This window comes from Homo sapiens, chromosome 10 (genome assembly GCF_000001405.40).
Source record: "Homo sapiens chromosome 10, GRCh38.p14 Primary Assembly".
Lineage (NCBI taxonomy): Eukaryota > Metazoa > Chordata > Mammalia > Primates > Hominidae > Homo > Homo sapiens.
The window spans coordinates 91,486,673-91,511,718 of NC_000010.11; the positions used below are offsets into that span (position 1 = coordinate 91,486,673).

Genomic DNA, 25,046 nt, shown 5'->3' on the forward strand with positions numbered 1-25,046 from the left:
GTCCTAAAGTACATAGTAAAACTAATATATATCTTACTGAGTTCATTGCATTTTCTTTTTATTTCCAATTTTTTGTTAGCATTAATGATTCAAAATAATTATATACCAGTACTGAAGAACTCTCAACTTTTATTAACAATTTTGTCCCATGGTAAAAGCCATCTCACTTTCAGTTTACACTAAGGCTATATCCATTTTCCTAATAATGCCTTTTTTCTCAGTGGTCACAGTTGTACCACCTGACTATGCTCAGAGGGATTCCAGCTGTAACTGATAGATTCACTGTAGTCACTTTGAATGGCAATCTAACTCCAGAAGTGTCATTGCTGCCATATTCATTCTTTCTAAATGCATTTATCTCTGTGTAGTTTGTGGCTTTTGTGCATAGCATAGAATGTTCTAGCCCAGGAGGGGTTATTTTCATAACCTTTTTATAATGTGTAATTACAAATACATACCATTTCCTATTACCACACCATTAAATATAATACTAAATGTAACATACATTTCTGATTTATTTTTATTGGTCTTAAATATATTACTTTACTTTTTACATACTGTAGTTATTGTTAGATTTTTTCATTTCTGGAACTCACACATCAGAAGTCACCATATAATGATGGATTCTTATATTAATTTTGAGCACCTGGGTTTTCTGTACTACTTAACCAACACTTCTCCCTCCTGGTTCTGGTATTGGCCATGTTGTTCACAGGTGATGATATACAATGAAATTATTTGTATAGACAATGTAAGTGGTTAGCACACATTCAGAACCTTTGATGTAGCTTCTGCAGAGAATAAAGGCATTGCACATCTAGTAATGATACATTCTTCACATGGCTGTGAGAATTAAAAGAAATTATACACATACAATCATTTTGTATATGGTAAAACACAATCCAAAAGTAATGTTTTATATTGCTACAAGGGGTACCTTAGATTCCCTTAGTATAATTTTGTTAAAAATACACCATTTTGCTTTTTCTTTTTTTCACTTGTTGAGCAGGTTTTCCTTCTGTCAGTACCCATTCGTTATTTCTGTAGCTGCAAAAAAAATCATTATTCAGAGAGACTCAGAGCAACAGATGATAAACATCGCAAGGGTAAGTCAGCTATAAAAACATATTTATGCTGACTATAATCAGTATAGTAAATAATTTAATAAATAATTTAAATGTCTTGTGAATTGTTCTAGCATAATCAGGAATGTTAAAAGCAAAATTCGTGTTATACTCACCCAAAAAGTGCTTAAAAACTATTTACAATTTGGGAGACAAGATAACTCTCATCTCTTCTGATCAACTTCTCATTATATTATAAATATAGTAGGAAGAGTAAATGCTTCTCACAGATTCAAATTACTGAGAGCTTGTTGGACCTCGTTTTGCAGATACCATACCACCAACCTTAGATAACCAGCAGAGCATTGAGAACTGCGGTGAGGCAGAGTGTCATTAGGCAAACCACTCAAACTACTGAAACATTTTCTAGGTTTTATGAAAATCAGAAACAACCGAAAAATTAGAAAATGTAACAAAAAGTGTGTCTTGGAGAACTGAGAAATATGCCCAAAGAAGGTGAAAGATGTTTTATTGGTTCTTAGGAAACCAAAATGCATGGAGACCCAAAGAGGCTGGGGATAGCAAGCAGACTGAGTTTAGGCAAATTGTAGAGCAGTATGAAGTTATCTCTCAGTCTGTCCTTACCACTTCCTATCCCTTGTGTTTCAGCTCAGCACAGTAATGTACTTTATCTAATAAATATCAGATTCAGTGAGGTTTTTCTGTTAGAGCTCTAAACTATTTGTTTAAGTGCTTATGTATTTCAAACATCTGCTTGTGTTACATGATTGCTCACAATTTTAAAAGAGGGAAGCTTGGCTGTGGTCTTCTTAATTGAAAAAGGAATATAGAGTAAAAAGAAATGATTTCCATCTTGTTCAAGAGTATAAAAAGAATCCTAAAGCATAAATTGTAATACTTCAAAATGCTATAAAAAATAAGAATGTTTATTCTTCAGTAATTCAGTTCCCAGAAGGTGAGTATTTCTTTCTATCACAGAGAAGGACAAAAGATTTGAGTAACTGGTGACATCCCAAAGTCATCTTATACTGAATATGGGAATATTAGAAGAAATTTTATTGCCTATGCCCATCAAGGGAATTCCAAAGCCACACTACCCCCCTGAAGAATGAGTTTAAACAGGTATATTCAGCACCAGAATTGTTACTTGATCTTGGGTAGATATTGGCTCAATGATTAGCTGTATAGCTACTCATTCTGACATTTTCTGTTAGTTGTACTCGTACAATGTCATGTGCCTTTTTAGTATTTTTTCACCTTGGTCTATGATTTTTTTATATTTGTAAGAAAATCTACAGTGCTTTTGTACGTAACAGAATGAGCTAGTTTGTGTTAAACTAGCAAGACTAAACAGTTTTTTCTGTGTCACTCACAGGATATCAAATATCTTTTTGTGGAATTTTTCTTCTACTTTAAAGAAGGAGAATGGCAGGTGTAGACTCTGTGACAGGCTAAGTTTTCTACAGAGCATGCAAACGAATGAGTAGACACTTGACATTGAGAGCTAAGTGGCATTATCAGTTTTTTATGGGTGTTTCCCAACATTTTATCTCATAAATTGCCATATCACTTGGAATTAATGACTGATGACTATTTTGACACAAGGACAATCTTACAAATAGTCAGTGTAAGCAAGAGCTTATATGGTACAATCTAAATATACAAAATTGGTTTCCTAACCTAAAATAAGTTCCTCAGTCACAGTGTCAAGAATTGTATCATTGTTGGGTTATTTTTTCATTTGGAGCATTTTCCAGTAAATATGAATTCCTGATGGGAGGAGTAGCTACTAATCTTGTTTGCCATTAGCATCCTAGCATAAATTTGTTTATTAGTTATTTCCAATGTGACAGCTGCCCAAGAGCTAGACTGGGAACAGAAGATAGGAAAAGGTAGGAAAAAACGGTCTGTAACACAGGACACTATGCTAGGAATGCAGACTTCCTTGATAAGTGAGGACACAGAAATAAAAGGCTGTTAATAGCATTTAGCGTTGTATATAGGAGAAATGGAGAAAGCTCCAAATTAGTGTTTTATTATAGTAATCTTCAAAATTGTAAGTAGCCTTAAATTGTAGATTTGTGATACTAAAATTTTATCTATTAAAGCAAATTGCTGCATGTATTTAAAATGTCTGAAATGTTTATCTTTAATCTGCACAATAGTTTTCATTGTTACCAAAAAAAGATATAGTCTAATAAAGACTATTTAGATAAATATATAAGCCTGTGGATTTTATATGACAAATGACATATTCCTTATAGATATTTTTAAATATATTGTTTTTTACCTATTCAGTGCTTATATTTTGAAAAACGGTGACAAAAGAATTTTGAGTCACTCATATCTCTATCCCCCAAGCAAAGCCATTAACATTTTAGTAAATTTTCTTTTGATATTTGTTCTATATTATCTTTAAAAGACAACAGAGTTGAAATAGTACTGTAAACACAATTTTATTTCCTACTTTCTTCAGTGTACCTTCCTTGTACTATTTACATAGTTTTTATGACCATCCTTTTTTTCATTAGTTGTATATGTACTTAAGATATTTCTAAAGTTTTGTTTTTATAGATAATGCTGTGATAAACATTGTACTGTATAAAATATGTTCTAAGAATTCTCAGTGGAAGGATTATTGGGATAAAGGATATGAATATTGTGATGGTCTTTGATACATGTTGACAAGTCACTTTTGTAAAGTAGACTAATTGTACCTTTAAAGAAAATTCAATATCTAAAAAATCCTAAGTCCAGGTTTATCATCAGGAATATATACCTTGTTTTGAATGTTCCCATTTTATATTTGTATTTATTAAACAGAAAACTTTGCTATTTAAGAGATGAGACATGGCCGGGCGCGGTGGCTCACGCCTGTAATCCCAGCACTTTGGGAGGCCGAGGCGGGCGGATCACGAGGTCAGGAGATCGAGACCATCCTGGCTAACACGGTGAAACCCCGTCTCTACTAAAAATACAAAAAATTAGCCGGGCGTGGTGGTGGGCGCCTGTAGTCCCAGCTACTCGGGAGGCTGAGGCAGGAGAATGGCATGAACCCAAGAGGCGGAGCTTGCAGTGAGCCGGGATAGCGCCACTGCAGTCCAGCTTGGGCGAAAGAGTGAGACTCCGTCTCAAAAAAAAAAAAAAAAAAAAAAAAAAAAAGAGATGAGACATACGGAAACTGTGATGCAACATTTTTTATTACAGAAGGTGAATTATTTTTGGTCCTCCACTTTGGATCCCCTTTGGTTATCATTGTTACAAAATGAAATAATAATAAGCCATTTTCACAAATCAAAATGTGTATAATTGATTTTTATAAAATTGTTTATATAAGAAATGGCATAGATAATAATTGTTATTTTTACTAAAGTGTTTAAATGTTTTAAATGAAATTATAGTCTAAGTAAAAGCAAAACTGTTTACTTTCTTATTTAATCAGCAAAGTCTGGTGGATAAAGTATCTCGAAGACAGAGACCTGATATGAATATATTATTTCTAAATATGAAAGTAAGACGGACACATCTGGTTAGCGATTCACTTGATGAGGTATAATTTATTCCAAAATGATATTAATTAAAGCTTAAAATTCTATAATATGATTATTATAAAAATCATAGTAAACTTTTTTATTTCTGTATGCCAATAAGTGTGCTTCCTTAAATTCTTTTGAAGATCTTGTTGCATACCAAGCTTCTGTAAAGTTTGATACCATAGTTAAAATCAGATCTGTATTCATAATTGTCTTATATTCATGTTTGTATGTTTATTAATAGTTTGTTAATTCCCTAGAAAAGGATTTGATGTAGAACACTTAAATGAGTAATTCATGTTTCTTAGTATATAACCTAGATTCCAGACCCACCTTTGTTCCTGGTTATGTGTGTAACAAGTCATTTAACTTCTCCAGGTCTCAGACTACACATCTATAAAATTAGAGGTCTGACCTACAGGGTATATTGGGTCTATACAGGTTCTAACATACTTTGATTGCATTTTCATGTATTATCATAAAAAATGCTTCAGCTAGATCTTAATATGGTTATTAGAAGATAATGGCTGATTCCGCTATGTGATTTATTTATTTATTTATTTTTGTGACAAGTTTTATTTTGTCACCTGGGCTGGAGTGTAGTGGTACAATCAAAGCTCACTGCCGCCTCAAACTCCTGGTCTCAGGGTCTCAAGCCATACTCCTACCTCAGCCTCCCAAATAGTTGGGATTACCAGCTCATGCTACCACACCCAGCCCTAGCTATGTGATTTTTTAAAGTTTAGCATTGAAGGGGAGTTTTTTTTAAAAAAAGAAATGAATTATATTGTGCTAAATTAAAAATTTGAAGGCAGTAGATACCAGGAGGTAGTACTTTGGGTGAAGTACCTGACCTCTCTAATTCTGTTTCCTGATCTATAAGACATAGTAAACACCTAGCTCACACAGTGTCTGGCAGATTTATTGGATAAATGGAGGGATGGAGTTTTGTAGCATTGCAAATAAGTTAAAGACTGCCTAACACATTTCCCAGAATTAAAAATGTTAATTCTCTTTTCACTGCTCTTTGTTCTCCTCTACTGTATAATATCTTCAAATAGCTAACCCGGAAAAGAGCCGATTTGAAAAAGAAGTTAAAAGTTACATTTGTAGGGGAAGCTGGTTTGGATATGGGTGGTTTGACTAAAGAATGGTTCCTTCTTCTAATTCGCCAAATTTTTCATCCAGATTATGGTAAGTATGTAATCTAATTTTTATAAACTGTGTTTCTTCATAATTGTTAGAGTGAAGTAGTCACCCTTATTTTTAACCTATTCTGTGATTTTACAGACTTTTTGTCCATCGTAAATGTTGAATAATTGTTTAAGGACTGTTATTTACATTTTAAAAACTTGTTTGACCGAATTGTTGATCAGTTGATTCTCTTACTGGGAATCCTACACAAAATGTATCAAGATTAAAAGTAAACATTTATGAGGAAACATCCATATCTTTTCTGAATAAGTCAAATGCATGAAAATTTAATTTGTCATTGAAATAAACATTTGAAATTAAAACACAAAACTATAGTTTGCTCTATAGTAACATTTAAAGCCTCTTTCATTAATGGGTCATTTTAATAAATAAGAATTCATGAATTAATTTTTTAAGAAAAAATAAGCCTTTGAAATTTTTTATTTTACAGAAACTACCTGTATAATCCTTACTATCTGTTAAACTTTTCAAAGGAGAATTTTCAGTGTTTTCCTTATTCTTTAGTTTTCTTTTCTATATGTGTATGTGATGGGAAATAGGGATGACAGTGATAAATTGAAGTCTCCAGATATCCTCAAAATTAATTTTGATCATAATTTATAATCTATGAAACTATACTTTTTATAAAGTTATCTGATTCATTTAGTTTCTATCTTTTTACCCTGTTTCTACCCTTGGTTCAGGAAAATAAAATGTTCTCCATATATATTTAATATATATATTTATATTTGCTGAGATTTGCAAATATATAGTCCCATAAATAATCCAAAATTTTTAACTTGAAAGATGGTTTGTAACAGAATTATTGTTGAATTGATTAGCTTCTAATAGATGAGATGTCATGTACATGTTTACCACTTTGATTTTTTTAAGTCAATCATGTTAATAATAACATTATTCGTGTGTTTTTTTAGGCATGTTTACATATCACAAGGATTCACACTGCCATTGGTTTAGCAGCTTTAAATGTGATAACTATTCTGAATTCCGATTGGTTGGAATTGTATCCTTTAAACTTTCCACTAGGAGGTGCTAATAGATTAGAGATTTTTAAAGATTTTATCTGTATTTTAGAAAACTGTTTTCTTTAGCCATTTTATCCAAATTAAATGTTATTGTCAAATGTACTATTAGATTTTCAGTAATCTTCATTATGTGTAATATATGTCAGTAGACTTAATTGAAAGAAATGAGAGTTTGATTTTTTTCTGAAAACCTTATCTCAAAATAAAAATGGTTCTTTCCTATTTCACATATAATTGAAGTTATCACTAATTTAAGGCATTTTTTAAAAAAAATCAAAGTATTTCCCATTTATAATGAAGTATTTTTTTTCTGTTCTTTCACTTTGTGCTCATTTCCCTCAGTTTACTGAATTGAAATTGGGGGAATTAAATCTAGCTCTTTAATATGCCTCCAAATCCTGAAACATAAAGGAAGCATCCATAAAAATTGAATGGAATGGGAATATTTAAAGCATATAGTATTATTTTATAGTATTTTTAAAAATTTTATAAGTCCATCTGCAATCCTATGATTCCTATCAGGTATATTGTAGAGGGCATTTCTGCATTGGGTAGGAGATTGGACAAGATGCCTTCTACATTAGCTTTTTAGATTCCAAGAAATGTAATTGTTTGTGGAAGAAAGGAGGGAAGAGTAAATAAATAAGCACTGGAGATAAGAAAGTATAAAAGGGGTGGGGGGGAATTCTTAATCTGTTCTCAGAGTCAAATGACCATATGGCAGTAAGTACTAAGGAGTTCTGAGAAGGAAAATATACAATGTATTTTTCCCAGAGAGGATAGAGATTTAAAAAATGGAACAATTACATTTGATTAATATATGGCTGGTGAGAGTGGTGGGACATTATAAGCTGAGAGAATGGTGAGAATAAAAAAGGCTAAATTGTGCTGGGCTTGGTAGAGAGCAGCAGCAAGCGCACTGAAAGTTATGGAAAATACCATCAGAAAATGAATGAAGAGCCATCTTTGAATGTCTGTCTTTGTTACATCTGTTGGAATAAATTATGAGACATATATATGGAAACTGAGAGACCAGATTAATAAAAGAAAGTGTAGTAGGGAACAAACTACACATTAAGATAGTAAACTCAACTTGAAATTTTGTATATATTGTTGTGTCTAAAGGTCCAAAGTGCTAAATTCCACAAAATGAATAACGCTTAACAATTCTGAGACTCCTGTTTATATTCTAGTATCTGCAGTAATCATTTGTTGAATGTTTCATCTTCATTGAAGGGCCTAATCATTGATGCTTGTCACTATACTATGAGCTATTTATATGTTCATACATATATGTTTGTCATGCTTTATATTCATATATCACAATTTAGATTTGGATGATATTTTGACTCTAATATTTACACTAAAATATTATAGCTTAGTTACATTTTTAAGTGATACTATACATAAAATCATGAAATTGCTCATTGTTTTTTTTGCAATAGATATTAGTTTCTATTTAGTCATTACCCAAAAGAGCATATTAAGCATGTTTAGATATTCTATATTTCAAGTTAAACAATTAAATCTAAAAATTATAATTGCTACTCTCATTATTATGTGTGTTTATCACACACACAGATATAAAACCTATAGAAAGCTAAATTGATGCTGTAAAAAGCATAATACTATATAGGAGAAATGTGAGATGAGAGTGGATTGTGGTCAGGTAAGGAGTTGGGAACTGAAATTTGAGAAAGAACAGGTATGAACATTGAGAAAATATAGTTGGTTTCATATATATCTCCAGTTTTAAAATTTCAGGACCAAAGATGTGTTGTTCTAGTAGTTCTGACAGTATTGTGTTTCTAATACAATTATTTTGAAGTATAAGGCCTTATTATCAGACTTCATTACACCTTAGCAAATTGAAATTTTGGTGGTCTTCCAATTTTTAAAAGTTATTTTCAGTAATTTACCCAGCTCATATGTTTAGATTTCCTTATGATCCTATAAAATGAATTACTTCCTTAATAACTTTATATAATAATTGACTGTTGAAATACTATGAAATTTGATCTAAAACCTCTCTTTCCATAAATGGATAAGTTACATTCCACCATATGACTAATAAATAATCCTGAGCAAAATTTGTAACATCTGTAGCTTTTTAACTTTGACACTGAAACTCCAAGTAACATAAGTCTTTCAAGTTTTACTGTTGGAAATTACCTATCCTATTAGCTTATCAATAGCATGTTTATATCCATATGTTTATTCAGTTTAGCTCTGTTCTTCACACATAGTCTGTTTTTAATTTTAAAATAAATAAAATGGCTATCTCCAAAATCAGTATTCTACAGTGAGATCTACTGAATAAACCATTGCTGCTGCTTATAAAATTGCCAGCATCTTTGTTTAAATTTAGAAAATGTTTTCTGTAAAATAATTACAGGCAAGTCTTAAGTTGCTGCCTGTTGTGATCTTAGATAAACTTTTCTAGGGAAATCATTGAATACTATCAACTAAACCACTCCTTTTTACATGACTTTTTGTAATCAAGGAATTATATTATGTAAAATAAAGGGGAAATAAATGAAAGAGGGGAAAGGAAATATGTGATACTAATTAGAAAGTCAGTGTTAAATCTGAAAGAAGTATGCAAAAAATAGACTGATGCATAATTCAGAACTCATTTGTTGTCATGGATTTTATGTTAATGCTTAACATTTAGTATGCATAGCTTATGGGACTAGCTGTTTATAACAGCATCACCTTGGATATTCGTTTCCCTCCCTGCTGTTACAAGAAATTATTGAGCCCTCCCATCATTCCTAGTGATCAAAATATACCAGTAGGCATCTGCAATGTTACCGTGGACGACTTATGTCAAATTATGCCTGTAAGTATAAAGTTATTAATATCTTGTCCTTTAATGCGAAATCATCTTTTTTCTACCTGCACAGTCTCTCCTCCTAATGCTATTCTTACTTTTAAATATGGTTTCCTTCTACCTTTATAACTCATCTCCTTTTTTCATCTAGCTTTTTCTTTCCTTAGAGACACATGTCACCCACTTTGCAGTGCTCCTAAGCTTTTACAAGATAGAGAGGCAGTAATTCGAATCCAGGCTCTGTCACTTACTAGCTCTGTGAATTTGGACAAGTTATTTAACCCTTCAATTTAGTTTCTTTATGTGAACAATGGGATAGTTTTTATTAATAATTTTTAAATGATGACAATTATATCAAATCTGTGCCAGCCTAGATTTGTATGAAAATTTGTGGTTTTAAAGGAATAGAACATTTATTATGTAAAATATAGAAAATCATTCTAATCATGCTATTATTTACCTTTTTCTAATAATTTAAAATAAAACTTTAATTTTTTCATAAAAATTAAATTGAAAATTTTGAAATATTGGATCAATTTTTCTATTTTTAAATCTTTATTTATGGATAATTTCAATTATAATATAATGTAAGAAAATCTTTCTTTTTTTTTTTTGAGACAGAATCTCACTCTGTCACCCAGGCTGGAGTGCAGTGGCTCCACCTTGGCTCACTGCAACCTCCGCCTCCTGGGTTCAAGTGATTCTCGTGCCTCAGCCTCCTGAGTATCTGGGATTTTAGGCATGTGCCACCGTGCCCGGCAAATTTTTTTTTTTTTTTTTTTTTTTTTTTTTAGCAGAGACGGGGTTTTGCCATGTTGGCCAGGCTGGTCTCGAACTCATGGCCTCAAGTGATCCGCCTGCCTCAGCCTCCCAAAGTGCTGGGATTACAGGCATGAGCCACTGAGCCCAGCCAGAAAATGTTTCTTTTTTTTTTTTTTTTTCTGCCCAAGACAGTCTTGCTCTGTTGTCCAGGCTAGAATGCAGTGGAACAATCTCAGCTCACTGCAACCTCCACCTCCCAGGTCCGAGCAATTCTCCTGCCTCAGCCTCCCGAATAGCTGGGATTACAGGTGTGAGCCACCACACCTGGCTATTTTTTTTTTTTTTTTTTTTTTTTTTGGATTTTTAGTAGAGACAGGGTTTCACCATGTTGGCCAGGCTGGTCTTGAACTCCTGACCTTGTGATCTGCCCACCTCGGCCTCCCAGAGTGCTGGGATTACAGGCATGAGCCACCGTGCCCGGCTAACCAGAAAATGTTTCTTTCAGTATACTTAACTTTTTCTTGGGAGGGGAGGGCACTGTGCATGTATGAACTGTATATTCATGAATGCACATGAATGAACTGTGTGTTTTATGTTTAAAATATGAATCCAAAAACATTAGCAGATTTTCATAGGAATATAAATTGAAAGTGAGAAATACTACAAATTCATAAACAGTAATGTGGCAGATAGCAGTGAATTATGACAGACACTACATTAGAGGTATGCTTAGCTTGCTGCTTAAGAGTAGACCCCAGAGTTATGCCCCTGTAGTTTGAACTGGATAGTTTCCCCATCTATGACCTATAATGATTTTTTTCTTAGCCTCTGGATGGTAGAAATCATTAACCATTTTGTGCCCTGGAAAATACATGTCAAATATGATCTTTATATACATATGCATGAGCTATAGAAAAGCCACTTCATTATCCTAGCTAATGCTATTCTATTGAAAAAATCATTAACAGATTTCTTTTTATAGGAGTTGGCCCATGGATTAAGTGAACTCTTATCACATGAAGGCAATGTTGAAGAAGATTTCTATTCAACATTTCAGGTACTATTAAGGGCAAGTAGTTATCTGTTAATCATATATTTCATATATGAACAGTGCAATTTGTTATTAAATACCCACTGTTAGAAAAGATGAACAAGGATTAACCAATACATACAATCCTCTGTCTTAAAGGACCTTAACCTGATAAAGTAGACATGTGTAGATGAGCAGTCAATGAAAGTGCTTAATGAAATTCACTAAGGGTTCAGAGTACTCTCTAGGCAATTACATATCCCCTTGAGTTGGTTACTTTCTCAGAGCTTTTTAGTTTCTAAAAATAAGCCTCTCCTGTAACTTCAACATTAGAAGCTAGGAGTAGAAACTAATGAGTCAGACCAAAACTCTCTGATTTCCACTCCTTTTACAGTATTTGGGAAATGGACATTACAGTGATCTGCAGAGCTCCAGGGACCCGCTGTGTATTATCTAGATGTCCACACAGTTTTGTGGACTTCATTAAAGTATTTAACTGTATTAGGCAGGGTTAAGTTAAGGCACTATTTTTTAACTCCATAATTCTTTTATGATCCCTCGTTCTTAATACAAATATTGCAAGAGCTTAGCCTTTTATAGTTTATGTGTTTAGAAGGAAGGGGGAAAAAAACTGTTTTTTAAATTTTACAAACCTGTTCACCAAAGTATGTTATTATATCAACCATATTAATATGTGTAATGGCATCTCCCATCAGGTTTTTCAAGAAGAATTTGGAATAATCAAGTCCTATAATTTAAAGCCCGGTGGTGATAAAATTTCAGTTACCAATCAAAATAGAAAAGGTAAGTTAATACCCTTTTTAATTAAAATGAATTAGTATTTGCCATTTACTTTTACTATTTAAGAGATGTAAAATTGCTTTTCAGAATATGTACAGCTTTATACTGACTTCCTTCTGAACAAATCCATCTATAAGCAGTTTGCTGCATTTTATTATGGATTTCATAGTGTGTGTGCTTCAAATGCCCTAATGGTGAGTTTATAACTTTAAATCAAGCTTTCGGTTAGCTTTTGTAGTACTATCATGTTAACAAATAATTAATAAATATTTTAGTAGATAAGCTTTTAAAATAGAAAATATTTTCTACTTTTTAAAAGTAGAACTAAAAACAAAAATAGTTCTCTCATTTCAGTCTTAATTCTTTAGAGGGGAAAAACACCCCAGTCAGTTCATTTTCTCTCCCCTTCTACTAAGTCTTTTAGAGCTTTACAAACTTTCTCCAAGTAGAGTGGATGAAGGGATCCATGGACTCAGGATCTTAATACTGAAGGACAAGGCACACAACGCAGTTAACATGTAGCTCCAGGGTAAAAGTTACAACTTCTTAATGATTAAGGAACATATGTATAGCTGCTTCCTGCTACCTCAGGGCTCCCTCAGCAACTCTGCATTGCCTTTTACCCTTAGCAAGTAGTTTATCTCTAGAGTTATGGTGGACTCAGTTTGGTCTGACTTGTCTTAGCCATGTGAATATGGATCAGCTACTATTTAGAATACCATGTCAGAAGTATCATAGGATACCTTTCAGTCACCCCAGCTACCCAGCACACACTTTCATCATGCCATTTATACCTCCCTTAGTTTCATTATGAGGGATTGGAGTAAGATCTTTCATTTGAATTATTTTTCATGGGAGAGAGAAATGGACTATAGAAGTTGCTTTGGGGCAAAACCAAGTGGCTTACATTATTGCCAGCTTGTTTTAGAGAAACCTTTGTAATATGTTTGTTGTCGAAAATACCTTTGAAAGAGAAACACTTTATTGAGCTCTAGTTAAGTTTTGTTTATGACACTCTGGTAATTGTGGGAGTGGACAGAGGGAAAATAAGAATTAAATAGCATAGCATGGTCTCTGTGTTTTAGAGCTTTAATCTCTGTAGGCGGTAGACTAACCCACCTGAAAGTTGAAAAAAACAAGAGACACAAGACAGACTATAACCAAGTGCCCAAACTCTACAGTGCACACAGGAGGTGTTATGGGATATTGGAAGGAGATACTAGGATACGGGATATTAGGTGGATCAGTAGATGTTGGAGCTTCATGCTGGTTTTTGGAGAAGAGTAATTTGGATTTGTGCAAAGTAATTTGCTTGTTTTTCTGGCAAACGGCTAATTACTATTTACAAGATCTATAAACTTCGGAAGCAAAAATATCTTGCCTTGGCAGGAAAAATATACCCAGAGTCGATTTTTCTTCAACAAAAATGGTTTGATTTACTATGAGAAATCATGACTTTTGTGATTTGATCCAGTGAAAATAGTTCCAGTTTCACTTAAAACCATCACTCTTTAATTATTGTTTTTGATAAATAATTATTGGCAGCTGCTTCGTCCAGAAGAGGTTGAAATTTTGGTCTGTGGAAGTCCTGACCTGGATATGCATGCTCTGCAGAGAAGTACTCAGTATGATGGCTATGCAAAAACGGACTTAACTATAAAGTGAGCTCTTTATACTTCTGATAGTGGGGGATGTGGAGAGGGAACAGCAGACAGTGTGGTTCATTTATTTGCATAACTTACAATCTTTGAATCAATTAAGTTAGTCAAAATATTAGAGAGTCCCACAGTCTTATTTTATCTCTGGAAAGTCTATGAGAATTTTAATATGAAATCACTCCCTTTGGGAGAAAATTCTATAAGCAAGTTTCTACAAAAGTGTAGAGATTTTACTTTTAAAAAAATGACTTTGCTCCTAGAATTTCATGGATGCTATCCTTGTAAATAACAGTTTAATAGCACTATGTTGAAAAATAAGACTTGAAAGTTATGCAGGAGAAAAATGGTTCCTGTACTATCCACTGCTGAACTTATATACTTTTATAAAAATATTATTTTATAATGTTAGTCAAAAGTCTAATACGTATATAGAAGCTCACCATTCCTTAATTTTACAGAAATTCAGGATATTATGTATGCTTAAGGAAAGTCCTTTCCTTAGAGCTTCCTTTATATTACTTTATTATAGGATTTTTGTCAAGACATTTGATGTTAATTTCCTTTGGTATTCTCTAGATACTTTTGGGATGTTGTGCTTGGATTTCCTCTTGATCTTCAAAAGAAGTTGCTACATTTTACTACAGGGAGTGACAGAGTACCTGTAGGAGGGATGGCTGATTTGAACTTTAAAATCTCAAAGAATGAAACTTCTACTAACTGGTAAATTTCTGGATCTAATTTTATTTTAAATCTAAAGGTTACTGCTAATACTGCTAATGATAATACATTTGGAATCAGGATGTGTACTCCGTTTGAAGTTATTTTCATAGAAAAATCTTCAGAGTAAACATGGCCTTGAAATGTAAGAGATTTTGATTAAAAGTTCTCTTACTAGTTTTTGAGACATACTAACTAATAATTCATTTCTAACAACTTTTTACTTTGCTAGGTCATATAAGTGCTTTGTAGACTCTTTTAGAACCTAGTTACTTTGTAGTAGTAGATTGTCTAATGTTCATTTTTATTTAAATGTGAAATGTGTTTTTTATTTTTAGGAAAATCATTAAGTTGGGATATCTGGTTTGTTTGTGGAGTTTTCTTTCTTTTCTAGGGGGTTGGGGGATACTATAATTATTACCAGAAGTACCTCTAATACTAATCCTCTTTTTTTTTTTAATCTCATGCTTTTTGTATATGAAGTGATGGTGATGATGGATTTAAATTATTTTCTAGCAGTGTTAATGCATTAATGCTTATCAACTTACTCCTTTTCCCAAATAACTTATAATTTCTAAAGCTAACTTGAATAGACATAACTTTGATTATAATCATTTTTGTCTCCTGCCCCATACATTGAACATTCCCTAAGTGCTCTTAGTTCTTCCTTTCATTTTAAAGCTGGAATCTGTTCTTTGCTTTTCCACTGCCTCTACCTTGGTAAAGTTACTTTTTATCTTCATTACTAGCTTATTTTATCCTATTAAACTCATGTGCTTTAACACTATTTAGATCATATTTCCGTGGGAAATAACTTTATTGCCAGTTTAAGTTCTAGAATCCAGAGACTGTAAAATAAAGCTCTAGTCTTCTACCCCAGGCTATCTACCAGTTTTCATTTCTTTCTATGCTTTAGTCAACAGGCTGTTTGCTGGTTCCTTAGATATATTTTATGCCTTTCTTCCTCCATGCTTTCAAGTTGTTCCCTTTACATGTGATGTGCCAGCTATGACTATTAAAGACACAGTTTAATGTTGACTTCCTCTGTAAAGCCAAAAGTCATTATGTATTGAGTTTCTCAAATATCTTGTAGAAGTTATGTGCTAGTTACCATGTTGCACTTTATATCTGAGTCATTTAGTTCTTCAAGAAAGAGGTTATGCCTTATACATATTTGTATGCTCCAAGTAATCACACATGGTAAGTGCCCAATAGCTATTTCTTCAATAGTATTTATGTCATCATCAAGATTATATTTAAAACACAAAATAAATATTTACATATATAATTAAATTTCTAAACAAAATTTACAATTAAAGTCCTAAAATGAAAAAATTCAAGAGGATTTTTTTAGATTATAGATTTTTTGCATAACAGAAGTTAATTTTTCAGAATATTTTATTTTATATTAAAAACATTTCCAATTTTAAAAGAGTAATCTGAGCAATCTGTTTTAATACAAAGGTGACATTACTTCTAAACTTTCCCAATAATTATTATTATTTCAAGAATATGTGAGCTAACATGGCTTCAACATGAATCTAGAACCTCTAGGATTCCCAGTGGAATCTCACATATATTAAATAAAGCTGACTATCAAAGACATACAACATTTCAATTTGACATAATAATGGTATGCCTCAAAAGACAAGGACAACACTCCAGCTGAAAGAGGAGTTTCCATTCATCTTATAAGGTCCACCATTGAATATTCATTCACTAGATTTTTGTTAAATAAGAATGGTAATTCCATTAAAAGGTGGGCAAAGGACATGAACAGACACTTTTCAAAAGAAGGCAACATGCAGCCAATAAGCATATGAAAAAATGCTCAACATCACTAATCATTAGAGAAATGCAAATCAAAACCACAATGAGATACCATCTCACAGCGGTCAGAATGGCTATTGTTATATTAAAAAGTCAAAAAATGAGGGAGGAGCCAAGATGGCCGAATAGGAACAGCTCCAGTCTACAGCTCCCAGCCTGAGCGACGCAGAAGATGGGTGATTTCTGCATTTCCATCTGAGGTACCGGGTTCATCTCACTAGGGAGTGCCAGACAGTGGGCGCAGGTCAGTGGGTGCGCACACCGTGCGCGAGCCGAAGCAGGGCGAGGCATTGCCTCACTCGGGAAGCGCAAGGGGTCAGGGAGTTCCCTTTCCTAATCAAAGAAAGGGGTGACGGACAGCACCTGGAAAATCGGGTCACTCCCACCCGAATACTGCGCTTTTCCGACGGGCTTAAAAAACGGTGCACCACGAGATTATATCCCGCACTTGGCTCGGAGGGTCCTACCCCACGGAGTCTCGCTGATGGCTAGCGCAGCAGTCTGAGATCAAACTGCAAGGCGGCAGCGAGGCTGGGGGAGGGGCGCCCACCATTGCCCAGGCTTGCTTAGGTAAACGAAGCAGCCAGGAAGCTCGAACTGGGTGGAACCCACCACAGCTCAAGGAGGCCTGCCTGCCTCTGTAGGCTCCACCTCTGGGGGCAGGGCACAGACAAACAAAAAGACAGCAGTAACCTCTGCAGACTTAAATGTCCCTGTCTGACAGCTTTGAAGAGAGCAGGGGTTCTCCTAGTACGCAGCTGGAGATCTGAGAACAGGCAGACTGCCGCCTCAAGTGGGTCCCTGACACCTGACCCCCGAGCAGCCTAACTGGGAGGCACCCTCCAGCAGGGGCACACTGACACCTCACACTGCAGGGTACTCCAACAGACCTGCACCTGAGGGTCCTGTCTGTTAGAAGGAAAACTAACAAACAGAAAGGACATCCACACCAAAAACCCATCTGTACATCACCATCATCAAAGACCAAAAGTAGATAAAACCACAAAGATGGGGAAAAAACAGAGCAGAAAAACTGGAAACTCTAAAAATCAGAGCGCCTCTCCTCCTCCAAAGGAACGCAGCTCCTCACCAGCAACAGAACAAAGCTGGACGGAGAATGACTTTGACAAGCTGAGAGAAGAAGGCTTCAGATGATCAAATTACTCTGAGCTACGGGAGGACATTCAAACCAAAGGCAAAGAAGTTGAAAACTTTGAAAAAAATTTAGAAGAATGTATAACTAGAATAACCAATACAGAGAAGTGCTTAAAGGAGCTGATGGAGCTGAAAACCAAGGCTCGAGAACCACGTGAAGAATGCAGAAGCCTCAGGAGCCAATGCGATAAACTGGAAGAAAGGGTATCAGCAATGGAAGATGAAATGAATGAAATGAAGCGAGAAGGAAAGTTTAGAGAAAAAAGAATAAAAAGAAACGAGCAAAGCCTCCAAGAAATATGGGACTATGTGAAAAGACCAAATCTACGTCTGATTGGTGTACCTGAAAGTGACGGGGAGAATGGAACCAAGTTGGAAAACACTCTGCAGGATATTATCCAGGAGAACTTCCCCAATCTAGCAAGGCAGGCCAACATTCAGATTCAGGAAATACAGAGAACACCACAAAGATACTCCTCGAGAAGAGCAACTCCAAGACACATAATTGTCAGATTCACCAAAGTTGAAATGAAGGAAAAAATGTTAAGGGCAGCCAGAGAGAAAGGTCGGTTTACCCTCAAAGAGAAGCCCATCAGACTAACAGCGGATCTCTTGGCAGAAACCCTACAAGCCAGAAGAGAGTGGGGACCAATATTCAACATTCTTAAAGAATTTTCAACCCAGAATTTCATATCCAGCCAAACTAAGCTTCATAAGTGAAGAAGAAATAAAATACTTTACAGACAAGCAAATGCTGAGAGATTTTGTCACCACCAGGCCTGCCCTAAAAGAGCTCCTGAAGGAAGCACTAAACATGGAAAGGAACAACCGGTACCAGCCGCTGCAAAATCATGCCAAAATGTAAAGACCATCGAGACTAGGAAGAAACTGCATCAACTAACGAGCAAAGTAACCAGCTAACATCATAATGACAGGATCAAATTCACACATAACACTATTAACTTTAAATGTAAATGGACTAAATGCTCCAATTAAAAGACACAGACTGGCAAATTGGATAAAGAGTCAAGACCCATCAGTGTGCTGTATTCAGGAAACCCATCTCACATGCAGGGACACACATAGGCTCAAAATAAAGGGATGGAGGAAGATCTACCAAGCAAATGGAAAACAAAAAAAGGCAGGGGTTGCAATCCTAGTCTCTGATAAAACAGACTTTAAACCAACAAAGATCAAAAGAGACAAAGAAGGCCATTACATAGTGGTAAAGGGATCAATTCAACAAGAAGAGCTAACTATCCTAAATATATATGCACCCAATACAGGAGCACCCAGATTCATAAAGCAAGTCCTGAGTGACCTACAAAGAGACTTAGACTCCCACACATTAATAATGGGAGACTTTAACACCCCACTGTCAACATTAGACAGATCAACGAGACAGAAAGTCAACAAGGATACCCAGGAATTGAACTCAGCTCCACACCAAGCAGACCTAATAGACATCTACAGAACTCTCCACCCCAAATCAACAGAATATACATTTTTTTCAGCACCACACCACACCTATTCCAAAATTGACCACATACTTGGAAGTAAAGCTCTCCTCAGCAAATGTAAAAGAACAGACACTATAACAAACTATCTCTCAGACCACAGTGCAATCAAACTAGAACTCAGGATTAAGAATCTCACTCAAAGCCACTCAACTACATGGAAACTGAACAACCTGCTCCTGAATGACTACTGGGTACATAACGAAATGAAGGCAGAAATAAAGATGTTCTTTGAAACCAACGAGAACAAAGATACAACATACCAGAATCTCTGGGACACATTCAAAGCAGTGTGTAGAGGGAAATTTATAGCACTAAATGCCCACAAGAGAAAGCAGGAAAGATCCAAAATTGACACCCTAACATCACAATTAAAAGAACTAGAAAAGCAAGAGCAAACACATTCAAAAGCTAGCAGAAGGCAAGAAATAACTAAAATCAGAGCAGAACTGAAGGAAATAGAGACACAGAAAACCCTTCAATAAACTAATGAATCCAGGAGCTGGTTTTTTGAAAGGATCAACAAAATTGATAGACCGCTAGCAAGACTAATAAAGAAAAAAAGAGAGAAGAATCAAATAGATGCAATAAAAAATGATAAAGGGGATATCACCACTGATCCCACAGAAATACAAACTACCATCAGAGAATACTACAAACACCTCTACGCAAATAAACTAGAAAATCTAGAAGAAATGGATAAATTCCTTGATACATACACTCTCCCAAGACTAAACCAGGAAGAAGTTGAATCTCTGAATAGACCAATAACAGGATCTGAAATTGTGGCAATAATCAATAGCTTACCAACCAAAAAGAGTCCAGGACCAGATGGATTCACAGCCGAGTTCTACCAGAGGTACAAGGAGGAACTGGTACCATTCCTTCTGAAACTATTCCAATCAATAGAAAAAGAGGGAATCCTCCCTAACTCATTTTATGAGGCCAACATCATTCTGATACCAAAGCCGGGCAGAGACACAACCAAAAAAGAGAATTTTAGACCAATATCCTTGATGAACATTGATGCAAAAATCCTCAATAAAATACTGGCAAAACGAATCCAGCAGCACATCAAAAAGCTTCTCCACCATGATCAAGTGGGCTTCATCCCTGGGATGCAAGGCTGGTTCAATATACGCAAATCAATAAATGTAATCCAGCATATAAACAGAACCAAAGACAAAAACCACATGATTATCTCAACAGATGCAGAAAAGGCCTTTGACAAAATTCAACAACGCTTCATGCTAAAAACTCCCAATAAATTAGGTATTGATGGGACATATTTCAAAATAATAAGAGCTATCTATGACAAACCCACAGCCAATATCATACTGAATGGGCAAAAACTGGAAGCATTCCCTTTGAAAACTGGCACAAGACAGGGATGCCCTCTCTCACCACTCCTATTCAACATAGTGTTGGAAGTTCTGGCCAGGGCAATTAGACAGGAGAAGGAAATAAAGGGTATTCAATTAGGAAAAGAGGAAGTCAAATTGTCCCTGTTTGCAGATGACATGATTGTATATCTAGAAAACCCCATTGTCTCAGCCCAAAATCTCCTTAAGCTGATAAGCAACTTCAGCAAAGTCTCAGGATACAAAATCAGTGTGCAAAAATCACAAGCATTCTTATACACCAATAACAGACAAACAGCCAAATCATGAGTGAACTCCCATTCACAACTGCTTCAAAGAGAATAAAATACTTAGGAATCCAACTTACAAGGGATGTGAAGGACCTCTTCAAGGAGAACTACAAACCGCTGCTCAAGGAAATAAAAGAGGATACAAACAAATGGAAGAACATTCCATGCTCATGGGTAGGAAGAATCAATATCGTGAAAATGGCCATACTGCCCAAGGTAATTTACAGATTCAATGCCATCCCCATCAAGCTACCAATGCCTTTCTTCACAGAATTGGAAAAAACTACTTTAAAGTTCATATGGAACCAAAAAAGAGCCCGCATCGCCAAGTCAATCCTAAGCCAAAAGAACAAAGCTGGAGGCATCACACTACCTGACTTCAAACTATACTACAAGGCTACAGTAACCAAAACAGCATGGTACTGGTACCAAAACAGAGATATAGATCAGTGGAACAGAACAGAGCCCTCAGAAATAATGCCGCATATGTACAACTATCTGATCTTTGACAAACCTGAGAAAAACAAGCAATGGGGAAAGGATTCCCTATTTAATAAATGGTGCTGGGAAAACTGGCTAGCCATATGTAGAAAGCTGAAACTGGATCCCTTCCTTACACCTTATACAAAAATCAATTCAAGATGGATTAAAGACTTAAACGTTAGACCTAAAACCATAAAAACCCTAGAAGAAAACCTAGGCATTACCATTCAGGACATAGGCATGGGCAAGGACTTCATGTCTAAAACACCAAAAGCAATGGCAACAAAAGACAAAATTGACAAATGGGATCTAATTAAACTAAAGAGCTTCTGCACAGCAAAAGAAACTACCATCAGAGTGAACAGGCAACCTACAAAATGGGAGAAAATTTTCACAACCTACTCATCTGACAAAGGGCTAATATCCAGAATCTACAATGAACTCAAAACAAATTTACAAGAAAAAAACAAACAACCCCATCAAAAAGTGGGCGAAGGACATGAACAGACACTTCTCAAAAGAAGACATTTGTGCAGCCAAAAAACACATGAAAAAATGCTCACCATCACTGGCCATCAGAGAAATGCAAATCAAAACCACAATGAGATACCATCTCACACCAGTTAGAATGGCGATCATTAAAAAGTCAGGAAACAACAGGTGCTGGAGAGGATGTGGAGAAATAGGAACACTTTTACACTGTTGGTGGGACTGTAAACTAGTTCAACCATTGTGGAGGTCAGTGTGGCGATTCCTCAGGGATCTAGAACTAGAAATACCATTTGACCCAGCCATCCCATTACTGGGTATATACCCAAAGGACTATAAATCATGCTGCTATAAAGACACAGGCACACATATGTTTATTGCGGTATTATTCACAATAGCAAAGACTTGGAACCAACCCAAATGTCCAACAATGATAGACTGGATTAAGAAAATGTGGCACATATACACCATGGAATACTATGCAGCCATAAAAAATGATGAGTTCATGTCCTTTGTAGGGATATGGATGAAATTGGAAATCATCATTCTCAGTAAACTATCGCAATAACAAAAAACCAAACACCGCATATTCTCACTCATAGGTGGGAATTGAACAGTGAGATCACATGGACACAGGAAGGGGAACATCACACTCTGGGGACTGTTGTGGGGTGGGGGGAGGGGGGAGGGATAGCACTGGGAGATATACCTAATGCTAGATGACGGGTTAGTGGGTGCAGCACACCAGCATGGCACATGTATACGTATGTAACTAACCTGCACAATGTGCACATGTACCCTAAAACTTAAAGTATAATTAAAAAAAATAAATTTAAAAAAAAAATCAAAAAATAGCAGATGCTGACAAGGTTGCAGAGAAAAGAGAATGCTTATACACTGCTGGTGGGAATGTAAATTATTTTAGCCATTGTGGAAAGCAGTATGGAGGTTTCTTAAAGAACTTAGAACTATCATTCAACCCAGCAATGCCATTATTGGGTATGTACCCAAAGGAATATAAATTATTCTGTCATAAAGACACATGCATGCATATGTTCATTGTTCACTGCAGCACTATTCACAATAGCAAAGACTGGATAAAGAAAATGTGGTACATATATACCATGGAATACTATGCAGCCATTAAAAAAAAGATCATGTCCTTTGCAGCAACATGGATGAAGCTAGAGGCTCCATCCTAAGCAAACTAACACAGGAACAGAAAACCAAATACCACATATTCTTACTTGTAAGTGGGAGCTAAATACTGAGTACATGTGAACACAAGGAAGGGAATGACAAACACTGGGACCTACTTGAGCGGGTAGGGTGGGAGGAGGGTAAAGATAAAAGAAACTGCCTATCAGGTACTTACTTATTACCTGGGTGATGAGATAATCTGTACACCAAACCCCCATGACATGCAGTTTACCTTATATAACAAACCTGCACATGTACCCCTGAACCTAAAATAAAAGGTAGAGGAAAAACATGTTGTATTATATCTCAACTCACTAGCAGTTAATGAAGAAGAGGATAACAGGAGTCCAGAAAAAGATAGTGAATAGTATCAGTGAAAAGGGCCAAAAAATGAAGACATATAATGGGCACAATAAGCCAGTGCAGGATTTCAATTTTAAATTCATAGATAGGACCAGATGCCTTCTCCCAGTGCCTCTTAGAATAAAGTCCATGGAGAAAATAATCTTCAGTCATTAATTGTATTCAGAATGCTTTTTTCCCCTAAAAGGGCATGAATCCTTGGCAATATTTTGTGGTTATCCTGATTCTTTAGTACAGAGTGTAATGTAGAATGGCCAAGATTGCAAAGCAAATTTCAAATTACATCCTTTTCCATCTCTGGTTGTCCTTAAGCAGCTTCCTTTGCAAATCATCCAAAGAGTCAGGCTTAAAAGATATACATAATTTGGTCCTGCACCTCATCAAATACATGTTATTGAAGCCCCTGATGGATTAAGAAAATCCTGGACACATTTTTTCTTCAATAAACATTTTCATAAGATATTCTTCTGGTAGAATATTGATATTGTTTTCTTTCAGTTTTAAGAGACCTTGTATCTAGGTAGATGAGTATTAAATAAACTTGGAAAGCTCAGCCTTAACAGAATGAAGAGAAAACAAATGTTTTAAATAACTCGGGAAATGTTATTGAATGGATGCATGAAACACTGGCATAAAAATAAGTTGTGTAGCTTAGGACCTTGTAAACAGCAGAGCACTTTAGAAAAAAATATATTAAAAAACTGAGTTGGCATTTTCATTTTTTTCTTTGCTTTGTTATTTGATGATATTTTTAATTCATACAAATGTATGTCTGGTGCGTAAAAAATTAAGAATGTTAAATCTTACATATGAACAACACTGGTTTTTTAAGTCAGACTGATCTGGGTCTGAATATTGGGCCTACATCTTTACCAGCTCTCTATCCCTGAACAGGTTACTTGTATATTTACATGTCTATTTTTCCTCACCAGTAAAATGAGAACAACCACTTTTAAGTTGCTTTGAGGCTGAAATTAAAGGAAACAATGCATGTAAATGCACTCAGCACAGTGATTATCATAGACCAAACACTGAGTAAATGCTGATTCTAGTAGTTTTAAGTCTTTTAATTCAGGGGGCTCTCAAAATTTAGTTTTAAATCTTACAAACTTCTTTAAAAATGTTTTCCTTTTCTGTAGTGTATTCACATTTTTATTCATTGATTTCTCTGACAGCTGTTCTGATGCTGTGAAGTTCATAAAGACTGAAGGAAAGAGTCTTAAGATAGCTGTAAGAATCCTAAATGATGATAACAACACTATCAGATAGTAGGTGGGGGAGATGACACCAAAAGGATTCAGAAGATAATTTTTACATGTGCATCAAGGGGCATCTACTGTCCCCAAAATGCTCTTTTTTAAATTACTTTTTAATACTAAAAACCGGAATAATAGTATCATTCATTATATTATCTACTCCTCGGCTGCTAGATGTTTTGTGTATATCACTCTTTTAATCTTTTTAACCATCAGTCCTCAACCTTTTTGGCACCAGGGATCGGTTTTGTGGAAGACAGTTTTTCCACAGAACCAGGGAGGAGTGGGGAGAGTGGGAGGTGGTGGTAGTTTTGGATGAAACTGTTCCACCTCGGGTCATCAGGCATTAGATTCTCATAAGGGGCATGCAACCTAGATTCCTTGCACGTGCAGTTCACAATAGGGTCCTTGTTCCTATGAGAATCTAATACTGCCGCTTATGT

At 35.2% G+C, this 25,046-nt stretch overlaps 1 protein-coding gene and 1 long non-coding RNA gene across 14 annotated transcripts in view; one reads left to right on the forward strand and one right to left on the reverse strand.

The window, feature by feature from the left end:
• HECTD2-AS1 (HECTD2 antisense RNA 1) overlaps window positions 1-25,046 on the reverse strand; it is a 304,499-nt gene that overhangs the window by 179,711 nt on the left and 99,742 nt on the right. The window lies entirely within an intron of this gene.
• Window positions 1-25,046, forward strand: part of HECTD2 (HECT domain E3 ubiquitin protein ligase 2) — a 105,586-nt gene that overhangs the window by 77,438 nt on the left and 3,102 nt on the right. For 9 of the 13 annotated variants that reach the window (XM_047424658.1, NM_001348365.2, XM_047424659.1 and 6 more), the window contains 10 exons: window positions 1,010-1,106; window positions 4,528-4,635; window positions 5,680-5,812; window positions 6,748-6,836; window positions 9,542-9,700; window positions 11,436-11,510; window positions 12,200-12,287; window positions 12,372-12,478; window positions 13,830-13,945; window positions 14,519-14,662. In XM_047424658.1, the coding sequence (XP_047280614.1) occupies window positions 1,010-1,106; window positions 4,528-4,635; window positions 5,680-5,812; window positions 6,748-6,836; window positions 9,542-9,700; window positions 11,436-11,510; window positions 12,200-12,287; window positions 12,372-12,478; window positions 13,830-13,945; window positions 14,519-14,662 (1,116 nt within the window). Of the gene's footprint in view, window positions 1-1,009; window positions 1,107-2,063; window positions 2,208-4,527; window positions 4,636-5,679; window positions 5,813-6,747; window positions 6,837-9,532; window positions 9,701-11,435; window positions 11,511-12,199; window positions 12,288-12,371; window positions 12,479-13,829; window positions 13,946-14,518; window positions 14,663-25,046 lie in introns of those variants that run through there. The other 4 variants (NR_145526.2, NR_104291.3, XM_047424661.1 and 1 more) reach the window with 4 other exon arrangements.